The sequence below is a fragment of the Homo sapiens genome, chromosome 2, assembly GCF_000001405.40.
Source record: "Homo sapiens chromosome 2, GRCh38.p14 Primary Assembly".
NCBI lineage: Eukaryota > Metazoa > Chordata > Mammalia > Primates > Hominidae > Homo > Homo sapiens.
In genome coordinates this window covers 105047137-105063832 of record NC_000002.12, presented here as the reverse complement: position 1 = coordinate 105063832, position 16696 = coordinate 105047137, and the positions used below count along the sequence as shown (strand labels likewise).

The 16696-nt window shown below is 36.1% G+C and overlaps 1 protein-coding gene across 3 annotated transcripts in view; it reads right to left on the bottom strand.

Annotated features, from left to right (window-relative positions):
* Positions 1 to 16696, bottom strand: part of MRPS9 (mitochondrial ribosomal protein S9) — a 61892-nt gene that overhangs the window by 36128 nt on the left and 9068 nt on the right. For 2 of the 3 annotated variants that reach the window (NM_182640.3, XM_047445533.1), the window contains exon 2: positions 14483 to 14662. In NM_182640.3, coding sequence (NP_872578.1) covers positions 14483 to 14662 — 180 coding nt within the window. Of the gene's footprint in view, positions 1 to 6249; positions 6397 to 14482; positions 14663 to 16696 lie in introns of those variants that run through there. The other variant, XM_011511644.3, reaches the window with a different exon arrangement.

The following is a 16696-nucleotide window of genomic DNA, read 5'->3' as shown; positions in this document are numbered from 1 at the left end:
AAATCAACAACCAAATGGATTGCAGAGCCCTTGAGAGAACCAACTATAAGAACTCTTCTATAGACAACTAGGGAAATGTAAATACAAACTCATAGATAAAATTTTCTACCTCCTGCTATAGACTATATTCAGATTAATTTTCTTAGATGTGATAGTGATATTGCGGTTATATAAGCAGATGTCCTAATTTTTTGAAGATGTATTTAAGAGTGAAGCATCATGATGTTTGCAATTGTATTTTACTTTAAAATAAAATAGTGCAGCCAAAAAACATACAGTTGAAGCAAATATAGCAAAATGTTAAGAAGTTAATCCAGGTGACAGACATTCTCTTTTTCTGTATGAATGAAAGTTTTCATAAGAAAAAGTACACAAATTAGTATTTACTGCTGTTGCTATTAGATTAGAGTGTTTTGATATTTCTCAATTCTGGTTCCAACATCCATGCAACATACATGTTAATACATAAATACATATGTATATACACATAAAAGTCATATAACCTTTTGTTCTTCTATAATTTGTGATTGTTTTAATAAATTTTTGTTTGTTTTTTAGAGACTGGGTCTTACTATGTTGCCCAGGAGAGCAGTGGCTATTCACAGATGTGATCATGGCGCACTACAGCCTTGACTCCTGGGCTCAAGAAATCCTCCTGCCTCAGACGCCCAAGGAGCTGAGACTACAGCATGTGCCACGGCACCTTGCCCATTGCTGTTTTATTCAGATAAAAGAAGCAACCATGTTCTATACTTCTAAATTTCTATTTTCTCTTTTGTAGTATTTTTGAACTGTTTTTGAAGCCAATTCTTCAGGTGTTTTTAATTGTTTCAATGAAAGACAAAATACAAACTGCAAACAAATATTACTTATACTTCCAAGTATTATCTTTCTTGTAAGTAACGCAAAGCAAAAATTATAAATTCTTACTTGGGAAGAAATGAAGGGCGCAATCCTAACATGTCCAGTAGAACTTCCTCTGATAATGGAAATACTCTATATAATCTGTGCTGTTCAAAATGACAGCCAGTAGCCTATGTGGCTACTACGCTCACTGACATGTGCTTGGTGCAACCGAGGAAGTAAATTTTCATTTTATTTACTATCAATTCCATTTTATTTACTGCCAATTAATTTTAATCATGCAACTCAGCACTGTACTAATGTTACTGAGGTGTATTTCAGCAAGGTTTTTTAAACTTCATTAAATGGTTACAAGGTTAAAGTCTGTAATGTAATGTTATTGGTCTAAATTAACAAACACATATCTATTGTTACAAGACAGAATATTAACAACCAAGTAGTCTCCAAATAGAGGATTTCTACGACAAAGCTGGTAATAACGGCCATTCCTAACTTTATCTCCTGTGAAGTGAAAAGGCTGGAAGCAGTGTTTCAGTACTTAGATCTATGACTCGATTCCTTGAGGGCTTGGACGGGTAACTCAGTATCAAGACAACCATCTGTAAGGCTGCGTTTCCTGACATCTCTTAACACTACAGAGGCCCTCTGCTACTAAGCATGATAGCCTAACTTTACTATCTTAAAGAGTAAAGGTAAGAGAACTGGGTTTAGATACCCTATTTCATTCAGCCTGGACTTCAAAGTTGGGTATGTGGGTGGAAATATTTACAAACAAGAAGGAGTAGGAAAATGTAAGAGAGAAAGACAGACAGAGAGAGTGTGTGTGTGTGTGTAACAGAAGTGTGTATATGGAGTAAAAATGAGAGTAATATTACAAAAGCCTTCACTTTCCCAATCAGACTTCTTGTAGTCTGTATTCATTCAGAGGTCCTTACTGGATCAGCTCCAGTTTTCCCCCTATCCTTTGTTGTTCATTTGAATCATAGTTAATTTTAACTTGCTACTAGAAAGAAAAACATATAAATATCAAGTTGTGACAAATACTGAAAACCTTTTCTGCTTGTTTTTGCAGTTTCTTTCTCCTAGAACAAAGCATAAGCAAGAAAAACCAACAAAGCAAAATGACAAGCACAGACCTCCATCTTACGTTCTAGGAGGGTCCACCTGAAGGAATAATGTCCTCTCTAAGCACCCATACGAACAGTATCTTACTTGCAACATGCCCTCCAGGGAATACTGTCCCCAATGCTCCTCCCCCCAGGCAGTGCAACTTTCAGTCCAGTTCTGGAATAACTCTTCCCCATCACCATTATAAAAGCAGGGATGGTGGGGAGGAATGGGGCACTATCACCTTTCTCTCTAAACCTGCTGCGGGTAGTGATGCACTATTGGAAATTCTGTGTGTCAGAAAAACATCAAAATGCATCTGCCGCAGTCTGCATTTCAGCGCCAGGCATAATCTTACTAGCACTGTCTTGCTGAAGTTACTGCTGTCTCTTGTCACTGGAGTCTCTGCCGCAGGTATGAGGAAGCTCACCCCATACTACCCCTGTAGCAGCAGCAAGGCCCACTCAGGGAGCACAACAGCTTTCCAGCTTTCTTCCTCTCAGATTGCCTTCCCACCCCACAAGGCCCAATGTTAAGATTTCAACTTCTTTGACCACGATTATGCAGACCTAATTCAAAGCCAGGCTACGCAAAACCAGCTCAGTGCCACACATCCGACTGTTTTAGTTTTGACTGCCTGTAAGCTGGTCTGTTAGGGCATTGTAACTTGAGGTTTATTTCAGTAGAAAGGCATTTGCTCAAGCCCTTCCAATACAATATTTAACTTTTTTTTTTTTTTTTTTTTTTTTTTTGAGACAGAGTCCTGCTCTGTCGCCCAGGCTGGAGTGCAGTGATGCGATCTCGGCTCACTGCAAGTTCCACCTCCCGGGTTCACGCCATTCTCCTGCCTCAAGTCCTGAGTAGCTGGGACTACAGGCACTCACCACCATGCCCGGCTAATTTTTTGTATTTTTAGTAGAGACAGGGTTTCACGGTGTTAGCCAGGATGGTCTCGATCTCCTGACCTCGTGATCTGCCCGCCTCGGCCTCCCAAAGTGCTGGGATTACAGGCGTGAGCCACCGCACCCGGCACGATATTTAACTTTTCATCTTTACTCTTACCCCCAGTAATTTGCTCTTTGGCTTCCTCTATCTATTTCTCTCAAATGCCAATGCCTCAAGAGACTTTCCCAAGTTCTCATTGCAAATGGTAGACAACTTTGTTCTTACTCCTCAAACTCAAAAGCCTTTGCCTCATATTGAGAAAACACTTCATTGAAGATAAAGTCTTCCATGAGCTGATCTCCTGAGTCCTTGGGGTTTTCCAAAACACACAATAGCGGCCAGGTGCAGTGGCTCATGCCTATAATCCCAGCACTTTGGGAGGCCAAGGTGGGCAGATCACTTGAGGTCAAGTGTTCAAGACCAGCCTCACCAACATGGTAAAACCCCGTCTCTACTAAAGACATAAAAATTAGTCAGGCGCGGTGGCGCCACGTGTAATCTCAGATACTTGGGAGGCTGAGGCAGGAGAACCACTGGAACCCAGGAGGCGGAGGCTGCAGTGAGCTGAGATTGCACCACTACACTCCAGCCTGGGCAACAGAGCAAGACTCTGTCTCAAAAAAATAAAAACAAAAACACACAATTGTAATTTCCCAATCCAACATAAAGCATTAAGCTTAATATAAAATTAACACTAAGGAGGGTATTTCAAATAAGATAATTACAAAGAATAAGTAACAAAAATGGTTGGGGTAATAGGGCTACTTCACAAAAAATTTTAGATTAGGGCAAAGATGTGGTTGGGGAAGGCTCAGAAATATAAGAAAAGAAAATGAGAACCATGAAGGCAAATAAAATGTTAGAATACTTCAGGGTCTTTTTTTTTTTTTTTTTTTTTTAGCAGTTTTCCTGTTATGTGATTCAGAAACATCTATATTAGCATGAAAAATAATGCAAAATTTAAATATTATGAAAGGTAAAATTAGGTCAACCAGAAAATCACTGGGGGAAGGTGGTGAGGAAAAGACTCTCTGTTAATGTTAACCTATCTGTTCACTGTCAGTGTTCATTGGCCCCAGAACGTGTGTGGCACTTACTAGGCACTAGAAAAAAAGTGCCAGCAAGTGGTTTGGGCCCCCAAGCATCTTACAATTAAAGGAAAATTGGCATTTCACATCCAAATTGTGGTTTGGCCCACTGGGACAAGTTTACCAACCATGACAGAATTAACAGAAATTTCATAATTATCTGAAATAAACACCTTTTCACTCCTAAACCAACCTTCATGAAAAATTATTATTTAAACTAAGAAATACCCAACCCTTCCACAAAAAAAAAACAAAAAAAACAAAAAATGAAAACATATGTATCAATTGGGACTCAGTTAATGGTTTTTCCATAAGCTTCAAAACAATCCTGCTAGCCAGGTATTTGGGTTTGTATTTGGTTTAGCATTAGTGTTTCAAGATACCTTTTTCCCAGTCTAAGAACCAGATTTTGGTGGTGCCTCTAGTAAACACATTAGTATTCAAACATCCTCACCATCCACGTCCATACAGCTCAACTACATACAAAAATCATCACCTTACTCTTTAAGGTTGCCGATGTCCTAATCTTTCAGTTTTAAATTCACTCAGAAGAAAATCTGCCACAGGAATAGAAAACAAAAGGCATTTTCCCAAAATAAGTGGTAGCTTAAAATTTCCCATATTCAATTCTAAAATTGGTATGAAATTTAACTTGGCAAAGTTGTTAGGTGTTTCAAACTAACGTTACACTTTAAGAAATTGTTACACATATAATTTAGGTTCAATGGTTGGTTGGTCACCAAAAAAAAAAAAAAACCCCACAGAACAAAAGCAAAAAACCATGCTTTTTCCAAAAGAAAAAATGGAGCATATATTTAGTAAGTACAGAACTCTTTAGAAACTCATTAAACTGCCGGGCGCAGTGGCTCACGCCTGTAATCCCAGCACTTTGGGAGGCCGAGGTGGGTGGATCACAAGGTCAGGGGTTCGAGACCAGCCTGACCAACATGGTGAAACCCTGTCTCTACTAAAAATACAAAAATTAGCTGAGCATGGTGGTGGGCACCTGTAATCCCAGCTACTCAGGAGGCTGAGGCAGGAGAATTGCTTGAACCTGGGAGGCGGAGGTTGCAGTGAGCCAAGATCGTGCCACTGCACGATCTGTTGCCTGGGCAACAGAGAGAGACTCTGTCTCGAAAAAAAAAAAAAAGAAACTCATTAAACTACAGCATGTCATCTATACTTAATGTGAATCCAAAACAAAAAGTGCTGAGAGAAAAGAAAGAAAAAGTAAGAATGCAAATTTTAAAAATTTAATCCAAATAAGAAATGGAGTAAGGTAATCCTCATTAGTAAACATGTTTCTTCCATTTTTAGGTTTTAACTAGAATACTGATATTCAACAGTTCCCTAAAATGAAGGCAAAGTATTTGAGTATGTTCTTAGACTTAAATCAAAGTATGAAAGAATTGCAGACTCAACCCAGAAGCACTGGGTCAGGAATGCAATCTCTATTAATTAGGCATCCCAGCTGGGCAGTGGGTTTGCAGCTGTTAACTTGATCAATGACTTACCTAAATGTCATCTCTACTGATTCGCTTATAAATTACCAGCAAGTGAGACTAATGTACAGGTGCTAATTTATTTAAACTGTTCTCTACAGTTCTACATAGCTCTATAAACTGCATCTGGCACCTAATGTTAGCTGTCAGTTGTACTTAGACATGCCTGTCCTAACGACTCTGTTCATTAGAAGTGAGCACAAATTATGAAATATTGTGAAAAATGATACATCAAATGGAATGGGCACAGCAAATCAATTAGAGAAACTTCATACAGCATATTCACACTTAGGAGAATAAAACATTCTGGTTTCAGAATGAGGTCTATAATACCAATTAAAAAGTAATTGGTAGACTTCAGGAGTGCTATATATCAATTTGCTGGCTTTTTTCCTGAAATTCTATAGTAATGTAGAACTTAACTTTTAATTCCCAAATAAAGACATTAGTAAACGCAAGTGCAAGTCTGTATTCATAATATTCAATATAACAGAAAGGTCTCCCAACTAAACTTTATAACAACTACATGCTTCAATGGAAAAGGAAAATGCAAATATCAGTGGTCCTCAACTTTTTGGTGTTTACAGTATGATTTTGAGTAAAAGAATTTTTGATGGTACACATGACAGGATTAAGAAACTTCACTAAACAGGTTAGCAATCATTGTTACCCCACGTCTGCTCTAGCACAAGGAGATGTTACAAGGTCTATAAAGTTCCATTGGCACTTGCTGCACTCCTCACCTAGCTGTTCTTTAGTCTTGGGGTCAATAAGGAAAACTGTTTCTGCTGCCTCTGTTACACACTCATGGGCTTAGTTCTTCAGTTTCCATACACACCAAATTTTCTTTACACTAAACAACAAGACTCACTCAGCTCAAGGTTCCAACTGACAGATTCCTCCTAACAGTTATGTATACTGTTAACAGCCAAAAAAAAATTTTTACACACTGATCAACATTTGGCAGTAACCTGTGAAAGACTGATGAAACAGGAGTTGAGGATAACAGCATTAAGGTCTATTTGCTAAATATTTAGCCTGCATTTAAAGTACTTTCAGCATAACACCATATACACTACTAATTTTGTTAGAGGCTACCCGTTTTTCCTCCTGTTAGATCTTCTAAAGGTTATCAGTAGCACCATCATGGTTCAGTGGGTAAGAACAATAGGTAGTTTATTTTGTTTCAATATAATTTAAGAAACTGGGCAAAAATCAAACTACTTTGAAATGAAGAGATTCTATACCTGCCAATTACTAATTCCTTTTTAGTTATAATACTTTACTTTTTCACCAATAAGATAATATTTTTCTTGTAAACTTAATAAAAAGGTCGAGCACCAATTTGAGCTAATTCTGGAAAAAAAAATTCTGAAATATATAGAATCCTGTAGCCTTAATAATGATAAATCTTCTAAGTGATAAAACTTTAAAATAAGTACCACTAGTGACAAGCAGAATTATTTTTATTAAAAAATTTTATCCATCTTATTCCTTTTTACCAACTCACATTGTACTCTTTAATAAACCTTATTAAGGAAGCACTAGTATATTACATTAGCTAGGTGTAATTTTCACACATAAATTATATATGCTGTATTCAGCAAGGCCAGATTTCTATTCAAACTTAACCCTCTGAAGTAAAGTTGTAAAACTGGAAATCAATGAAAAAGACCTATAAAGAACTGCAATAGCTGACATAAATTCATGAATTTTACTTACTAGGAGGGGCACGTAGGGCCTCATTCAGAGTCCAATGGCTTTTAGTTTTAATTCACACACTTAACGAGTTTAGTTATGCCAGAAGGTTGGAAGACAGGTGAGGGTGGCTAGAGGCAGACACGTAGACATAAGACATCCTGACAGCAAGGGAGATGACAAGAATCAGTAATACAGCATAGCTGAGCCATTCACCACAGGGACAGTTGTGCTCTACAAGCCACAGTCAGGGGCTAACAAACATACTAAAAAGGAAAATACTAAAGCACTGTAAGGTTAAATTATACTCACTATATCCTACTAAATAAGGTTGGGGAGACTGAAATTTATTTTAGAAAATGTTACCTAAAAAATTAATCTGAAAGAGTAGAAAGAACAGTGTACAGCCTTAGTATTGTTAAAAAAAAAAAAAAAAAAGATACCTATCCCATAAGGTTTTTACAAAGATAAAATGTGGCAATGTACATCCGGCTCCAAGATGGCACTTCACACATAACATAGAAGGTTTTTAGTATGTGGTAGTAGTTTTCATTACAAATAACACTTAAAAATAGGTTTCCCTTATCTGGAAAATTCACTTTTGTGGAATATCTAACTTCCTGATCAAACTAAATAATTAGAGAAAAGCTACTGCACCTAGTCTTAATTAATATATTAAAAGCCAAACATTTTAAAACCATTATAACTTCTAAATATGTAACAGCAATTGCAAAGGAAGCTTAAAATATTTTCTTGATTTTGGATAAATTATTTTTGTTTTCAGGAATAACCCATTGTTGCAGCATGGAAATGCTGACTCATCAGCCATAGTGTTTCTTTCAGTTGATATATACTGCTGAGCCACTTATAAAAACAATAGTTTAAAAAACATAAATGAAAACAGAAAACCATATGAGTATATAATTTTAATTCTTTGGTAACGGTTGTCACTGTCTGTCCTCTTTTGCTTTTACATCTACTCAGGTGCCACAAAGGTGGAGGGGGTCCGCTATATTTAATAAAATGCAATACCAAAAGGGGTCCGCTATATTTAATAAAATGCAATACCAAAAGGGGCCCGCTATATTTAATAAAATGCGATACCAAAAGGGGCCCGCTATATTTAATAAAATGCGATACCAAAAGGGGCCCGCTATATTTAATAAAATGCGATACCAAAAGGGGCCCGCTATATTTAATAAAATGCGATACCAAAAGGGGCCCGCTATATTTAATAAAATGCGATACCAAAAGGGGCCCGCTATATTTAATAAAATGCGATACCAAAAGGGGCCCGCTATATTTAATAAAATGCGATACCAAAAGGGGCCCGCTATATTTAATAAAATGCGATACCAAAAGGGGCCCGCTATATTTAATAAAATGCGATACCAAAAGGGGCCCGCTATATTTAATAAAATGCGATACCAAAAGGGGCCCGCTATATTTAATAAAATGCGATACCAAAAGGGGCCCGCTATATTTAATAAAATGCGATACCAAAAGGGGCCCGCTATATTTAATAAAATGCGATACCAAAAGGGGCCCGCTATATTTAATAAAATGCGATACCAAAAGGGGCCCGCTATATTTAATAAAATGCGATACCAAAAGGGGCCCGCTATATTTAATAAAATGCGATACCAAAAGGGGCCCGCTATATTTAATAAAATGCGATACCAAAAGGGGCCCGCTATATTTAATAAAATGCGATACCAAAAGGGGCCCGCTATATTTAATAAAATGCGATACCAAAAGGGGCCCGCTATATTTAATAAAATGCGATACCAAAAGGGGCCCGCTATATTTAATAAAATGCGATACCAAAAGGGGCCCGCTATATTTAATAAAATGCGATACCAAAAGGGGCCCGCTATATTTAATAAAATGCGATACCAAAAGGGGCCCGCTATATTTAATAAAATGCGATACCAAAAGGGGCCCGCTATATTTAATAAAATGCGATACCAAAAGGGGCCCGCTATATTTAATAAAATGCGATACCAAAAGGGGCCCGCTATATTTAATAAAATGCGATACCAAAAGGGGTCCGCTATATTTAATAAAATGCCACAAGAGTCAGCGAAGCCGATCAATCACTTGCAGCAAAGTCTAGCACAGCAGAATTATGTCACTGGTGTCAAGGAAAACGGTTAACACTCACTTCCATATGGGCTTTTTAGATACCAAGCTAGGTGAGACAATATCAACCTACAGGAGACAAAAGCAACCTCCCGTATAGTCAATCAGTGATAAATCAATGTACCCAACAGTGTTTCAGATGATTCTCCCCAGCACTCATTCTCAGGTGGCATGGAAGACTTGTGTGACAAAGCAGAGAACTGGAGAATGATTCCAGTTATGGCAGATGGTATTTATTACTGTTAATAGTAACAGGAATAATAACACACTGCATTAATCTCATGCCTTTTAGATATATTCTGAGGTAGACAAGTCGGTATTATTATTTTAGAGATAAGAAAATCAAGTGACAGAGAGCCCTGACTTGCTCAACGACACTAGTTAGTGACATCACAAGGAATCTCTAAATCCCAGGTCCTGTATTTTTCTACAAGATCATTTCAACTACAATGAATTTTTAATAAAAAGACAGAAAAAAATCAATCTAATAAAGCTTTCTGTATGTTCTGCATTTATATTCCACACAATAAATTCAACCTCATTTTAGAAGAGTCTATATATTTTAAAGAAGCAATTGGATGTTTTTCCTATTAATTCATGATTTGATTACTTAATTGGCTAAATCTAAAGGTAGATTTTTATAATATTCTGTTAACACAATCACACAAGATGACATCAAGTTGCTTTTACCATATATACACACACAGAGTTTTAAAAGTACAGAATAGCTGCCACCACTTATCTTTACATAGTGATGTTAAGTATCTCTTCTCTGGAAAATAATTCTATATTTTGAGAACCAGAACTAAATACATTGTTTAAAATTGGTTTCTACCTGATTGAATGTGAATGTATTCACTAAGCTACAGGATCCTTTTAGATTTCTCTAACTATTAAAAACGTATTCTAGATGGAATCACCAGTTTGTATCTGTTGTAAATACTTTAAAAGATATTTTAATATATGAAAGGGTTGTTTTAAATCTTAAATGTTTTGCTCAAATGCAATTCATAAATGGTCTTCACGATCATTATTTTAGTAATTGGATAACTAGTATGAAAAAACTAGTTTCTAAAATATATAAAATAACTAATAGCTTAATCTGAATACAACGGTGCCTAATTTGTCTATGTGAAAATTATAGTGAGCCTAGACTTTTAACTATGTAATTGAATTAAATTATAGACCATAGCTACTCTATATAAATTAAGTCCTCATGAAAATAATATTAACATCCCAAACTAATATTCTGGGTAAACATCCAAGCAATGAACAAACTACTCCAAACAACAAAATTCATGTTTAATACTTACACTGTGAAAATACTTATACCTTCAGATAAAATTACAAAATTGTTGAATGATTCTGCTTTTTTCAATAAGCTACATATGCCCCATGTACATCCAAAAAGGTAGTGAAGTGGGGCTGGGCGTGGTGGCTCATGCCTTTAATCTCCCAGCACTTTGGGAGGCCAAGGTCAGAGGATGGCCTGATGCCAAGAGTTCCAGACCAGCCTGCCAACAAAATAGCAAGACCTTGTCTTTATCAGTCAAACAAACAGACAAACCAAAAAGGTAGTTAAGAGTTGCTCAAAAACATCTTAGTAGTAAACTCAATTGGGTAATGAAATCCTCCTGCTAAGAACAGTTACTCTGGGACACACAGACCACAAGGAGGTAGGACCATTTTAAAAAGTAAGCATTTAAAAAAACCCAACAACAACAACTCACAAAGAAAAGCCCAGGCCCAGATGGCTTCACTGGTGAATTCAACCAAATTCTTAAAGAGGAATTAATACAAATTCTTGACAAACTCTTCCAAAAACAGAAGAGGAGAGAACACTTCCTAACTCATTCGATGAGGCCAGTATTACCAATATCAAAACCAGACAAACATTGTAAGAAAACTACAGACCAATATCAATTAGACATAAAAATCCTCAAGAAAATGCTAGCAAACCAAATCCAGAAACATATAAAAAAAGAGTATACACACCAAAGAAGTGGGATTTATTTCATGAACACAAGGTTGGTTTAACATACAAAAATCAATTTGTGTGATACAGCATACCAACAGAACAAAAGACAAAAACCAAATCATCATCAAAATGGAAAAGCATCTGACAATATCCAATACCATTTCGTGACAAAAACACTAACCACAACAACAAAAAAGTTCAACAAACTAGGTATGGAAAAAAACTTACTGAATCTGATAGAGCACCCATGAAAAACGCACAGCTAACATCATATTTAATGGTGAATGACTGAATGCTTTCCCCCAAGATCAGGAACAAAATTGGGACATCCACTCTTGCCATTTCTACTCAACATTGTTAGACATTCTAGCCAAGGCAATTAGGTAAGAAAAAGAAATAGAGGTATCCAAATAGGAAAAATGAAGTAAAACTATTTCCATTTTCAGGTGAAATATCCTACTAATTCTTGTAGTTTTTAGTGGATTCTTTGGGATTCGTAAATATATGGGATATCCTGCTATACCCTTCTATATATGGGCTATCTTGCTATATCCTGTATTTAGAAAATCCCAAGGAATCCACTAAGAACTATGAGAATTAGTAAGTTCAGCAAGGATGTAGATTCAAAATCAAAAATATACAAAAATCAACTGTATTCACTTGCAATAAGAAACCCAAAAATATTATAAAATAAAACAATTCTATTTACAATAGAAGTTAAGACATTAATACTTAGAAATAAATTTAACAAAAAAGTGCCAAATTTAGACTCTGAAAACTACAAAACATCACTGAGAGAAATTAAAAAGGATCTGTATCTATAGAGGGACACCCCATGTTCAGAGATCAGAAGACTTAACTAACATTAAGATGGGAATACTCTCAAAATCTATCTAGAGATTCAGCACAATCCCTATCAAAATCTTAGGTGGCTCCTTGCAGGAACTGACAAGCTGATCCTAAAATTTCATATGAAAATTCGAGGAGCAAAGAACAACCAAAATAGTCTTTAAAAGCAAGAAGGAAAGAAGACTACTTACACTTCCCAATTTCAAAACTTACTATAAAGCTACAGTAATCAAGACAAAGTGGTACTGGCATAAGGATAAATGTATAGATCAATGGAATAAAATAAGGTCCAGAAATAAGCCCTCATAGTTACACTGATATTCAATATAAGTGATAAAATAATTCAATGGGAAAAAATAGTCTTTCCAACAAATGATGCCGGAACAACTGAATGTCCATATGTAAAAGAACAAAGCTACATCCCTGCCTCACATCACACACAAAAATTACGTTAAAATGGATCAAAGACCTAAATGTAAGAGCTAAAACTACAAAACTAGAAGAAGAAAATATAAGGGTGAATTTTCATGACCTTGGATTAGCAATGGTTTCTAAGGTATACACATAAGAGAAATAAAAACATATGTCTACACAAGAACTTTATAGCATGCACATTCTTAGCAGTATTATTCATCAGAACTAAAAATGGAAATCCAAATGCCCATCAACTGATGACTGAATTCTTAAAATGTGGTATATCCATACAATCGAAAACTATTCAGTAATAAAAAGGAAGTACTGACACATGCCACAATGTAGATAAACATGAAAACATTGTGCTAAGTGAAACAAGTCAGTCACTAAAGACCAAATACTGTATGACTCTACTTATATGAAAGTCCGGGGTAGGCAAACTTAGAGTCTAGAGAGTCTATGTTCTAGGTGATTTGAAAATTAGGACCTGAATTCTATTCCTGTTGCACTCTTCAATTATTACATTCCTGACAAAAGCAATAATGGTCAATAATTTTTTTTGCTAAATGCCCCAGGATAGCTAGCAAAGGAGCTTAAATTTAACAACTTTGAATCTTGTTCTAATTTTTAAAATGTAATATCTAACATCTCATGGTATTTTATACTTAACTGAAGAATAGCATCTCTTTATGGAAAATATCCCCCAATACTGTCCAGATTACCATAAAACTCAAAAAGAGGACAGCAGCTACAAAGTCCCTAATTACAAATCACCTAACATAGAAGAGCAATAAGAAATCCTTCTGGACCGGGCCGGGTGGCTAACGCCTGTAATCCCAGCAATTTGGGAGGCTGAGATGGGTGGATCGCCAGAGGTCAGGAGTTCAAGACCAGCCTGACCAACATGGTAAAACCCCATCTGTACTAAAAATACAAAAATTATCTGGGTATGGTGGTGCGTGCCTGTAAGCCCAGCTACTCAGGAGGCTGAGGCAGGAGAACTGCTTGAAGCCAGTAGGCAGAGGTTGCTGTGAGCCAAGATCGTGCCACTGCACTCTAGCCTGGGCAACAGAGCAAGACTCTGTCTCAAAAAAAAGAAAAGAAAAGAAAAGAAAAAAATCCTTCTGGTTGAATAAAAAATGTTGGTCTGAAAGTGATACTACAGTACCATTTATAAATAGGAAAAGTATACAGAAAGATTGAAATTAAACTAAAGTGCATAAAATGACTAAAAATAATATTAAAATCGTATAAGAATGTTATTATCTATACAAAGATGTTGTTCTTCGATTAAATATAAAACATCATGGGATATTAGATGTTACTTTTTAAAAATAAGGACAAGATTCAAAGTTGTTAAATTCAACTTCCTTTGCTAGCTACTCTAGGATGTCTAGCAAAAATATTATCGACAATTACTGCTTTTATCAGGAATATAATAATTCAAGAGTGAATAGAATTCTGATCCTAATTTTCAAATCACTTAGACTACGCCCCCATTTTGAAACCTCAGATATATATTTAAGTTGACAAAAACACTGGGCCAAGGTTTACTTATGGGACTTGATATAAATTTGACTCTATTTTCATTACCATCTGTTATATCATTTTGTAAGAAAGCTGAGTCTAAGACTACACAACAGGTTAAACATTTCCCAATAGTGTATGAGCATTTATAGACTCATTTCTAGGTAACACCTAAAACTCACCATACTAAGTAAATCCTGCACATTTGTCTTTGAAACCATGGCTCCAACTTAAACAATGTATAGCAGCATTTTTCCTTATTCTGACAGCTTGATTAAAACACAGAGCTAAGGGGCTCATGAAGAAAAGTGCTTTTAATATCTAAAACTCTACAGCAATTACTTTTTCAACAGAGTAACTGTACTTACGTCAATATCTTCTTGAGTGAAAGTTTCTGGATCTTCTCCCATCATGTTGGCTAAATGTCTCTTTCCTATGTTGAACTCTTCAATCTGCTTTTTAATAAAATCCTCTGTGTAAGTTTCACGTTTTGAGGTAGGAACGTTTTTCTTTGGTATTACAAATGCAGTATGTCTTAGCCTTAATATCTAACAGAAAATATAGATGGAAAGAAAAGAAAATAAATTAAACTGTGATCTTCTAGGCCATTGTCCTTAAATAAAATAGTATATGCAAGTAGTTATCTTTTTTTATTACGGTATTCAAGTGACAGGAGTCCAAAAAGCAAGTTTAAAGGACCTGCTAAGAAAGTTGTTAGAATGTGTCCCCTACTCAAAGCCTTGCTTACAATGCAGTTTAAGCTACTAGCATTTCAATACATTAAAACCAAAAATACCTGTAAGTGGTATGCTACCTCCTGATCTATTTTAAACATCCACTTTTGATAATGATTGGTCAATGTCAGTGAGTTTTGATATTTGACACATGGGATAAAGAGCAAAAGGCTACTCCCTTAAGGAGGCAAATACACACGCACCAGAAACCAGCAAGCAGAAAACACGACAGCAAACGGCATGGCCTGAGGAAGAGCACCTTACACTGTCGGTATTCACCTTATTTGTGGGTAAAAATACGTCCTATCTTTAACCATCTTTTGGCTTAGCTTAAGACTTTATTCCATGGTCCTTATATTAAAGTGATAAAAAGAAAAAATTGCTTGACTGAACATTGAGAAGATTTATTAATTTGGCTCAACATGCTAACTGCAGAAATAAGGGCTCGCATATCTTTTATTTTTCTTTTTTTTAAAATTATTATTATACTTTAAGTTTTAGGGTACATGTGCACAATGTGCAGGTTAGTTACATATGTATACATGTGCCATGCTGGTGTGCTGCACCCATTAACTCGTCATTTAGCATTAGGTATATCTCCTAACGCTATCCCTCTCCCCTCCCCCCATCCCACAACAGTCCCCAGAGTGTGATGTTCCCCTTCCTGTGTCCATGTGTTCTCATTGTTCAATTCCTACCTATGAGTGAGAACATGTGGTGTTTGGTTTTTTGTCCTTGCAATAGTTTACTGAGAATGATGATTTCCAATTTCATCCATGTCCCTGCAAAGGACATGAACTCATCATTTTTTTATGGCTGCATAGTATTCCATGGTGTATATGTGCCACATTTTCTTAATCCAGTCTATCATTGTTGGACATTTGGGTTGGTTCCAAGTCTTTGCTATTGTGAATAGTGCCGCAATAAACATACGTGTGCATGTGTCTTTATGGAGAGGATGTGGAGAAATAGGAACACTTTTACACTGTTGGTGGGACCGTAAACTAGTTCAACCATTGTGGAAGTCAGTGTGGCGATTCCTCAGTGATCTAGAACTAGAAATACTATTTGACCCAGCCATCCCATTACTGGGTATATACCCAAAGGGCTCGCATATCTTTTAAAGGCATCAGTAATTATATCACACTTGCTGCTGCTGGTCCTTTTATGCTGTGGCACTAGGAATTTCCCTCCAAGGCATGAAGATTTCGCCTTCAGTCAAAGATGCTAAAAAACGAGAAAAATGTTTTCAAATGACATTCAGCTGCATCCCGTAGCTGGAAATAACTAGAACAGATCTTTCTGGTCCTGGCTTTTCTTAAGATCTCAAACCTGTAGTTCTCAACCTTCATCCTGGCCCCAACAATTCTAAACACTCTTAAAGCAATATTCAGGCCTTAAAACCACAATCTTAGGAATCCACTCACTTCCTTTTTCATAAACATAAATCTCTCTCAGACAGACATCATTCACTGGCACCATCCCTCCTACCTCCATCCCCTTCCCTTCCAAGAGTCCTAAATTCAGATGCCTCTACAGTAATTTGTCACTAAAGTTACACAAGAAAATATAAGAAAAAATACAGGAGAAATGTAACAATACCCAATTAATGAAAAAAATATATGTTTTTAAACTCTTCCAAATTAAGATAGTAAAAATAGAGTTTCTTCTTACTTTTTAATGAGTAAGAAAAGGGCAATTTAAAATTCTCTGAAACTTGAGTTTATTTTTACTTAGGAGATCACATCCTTCTAAAATATATTACTAACCAATCATTATCGTTTCTCACAATGCTTTGTGAAGATACAGTATTGCTGTCAATGAGTAAAAGCATGACCACAACTGGCT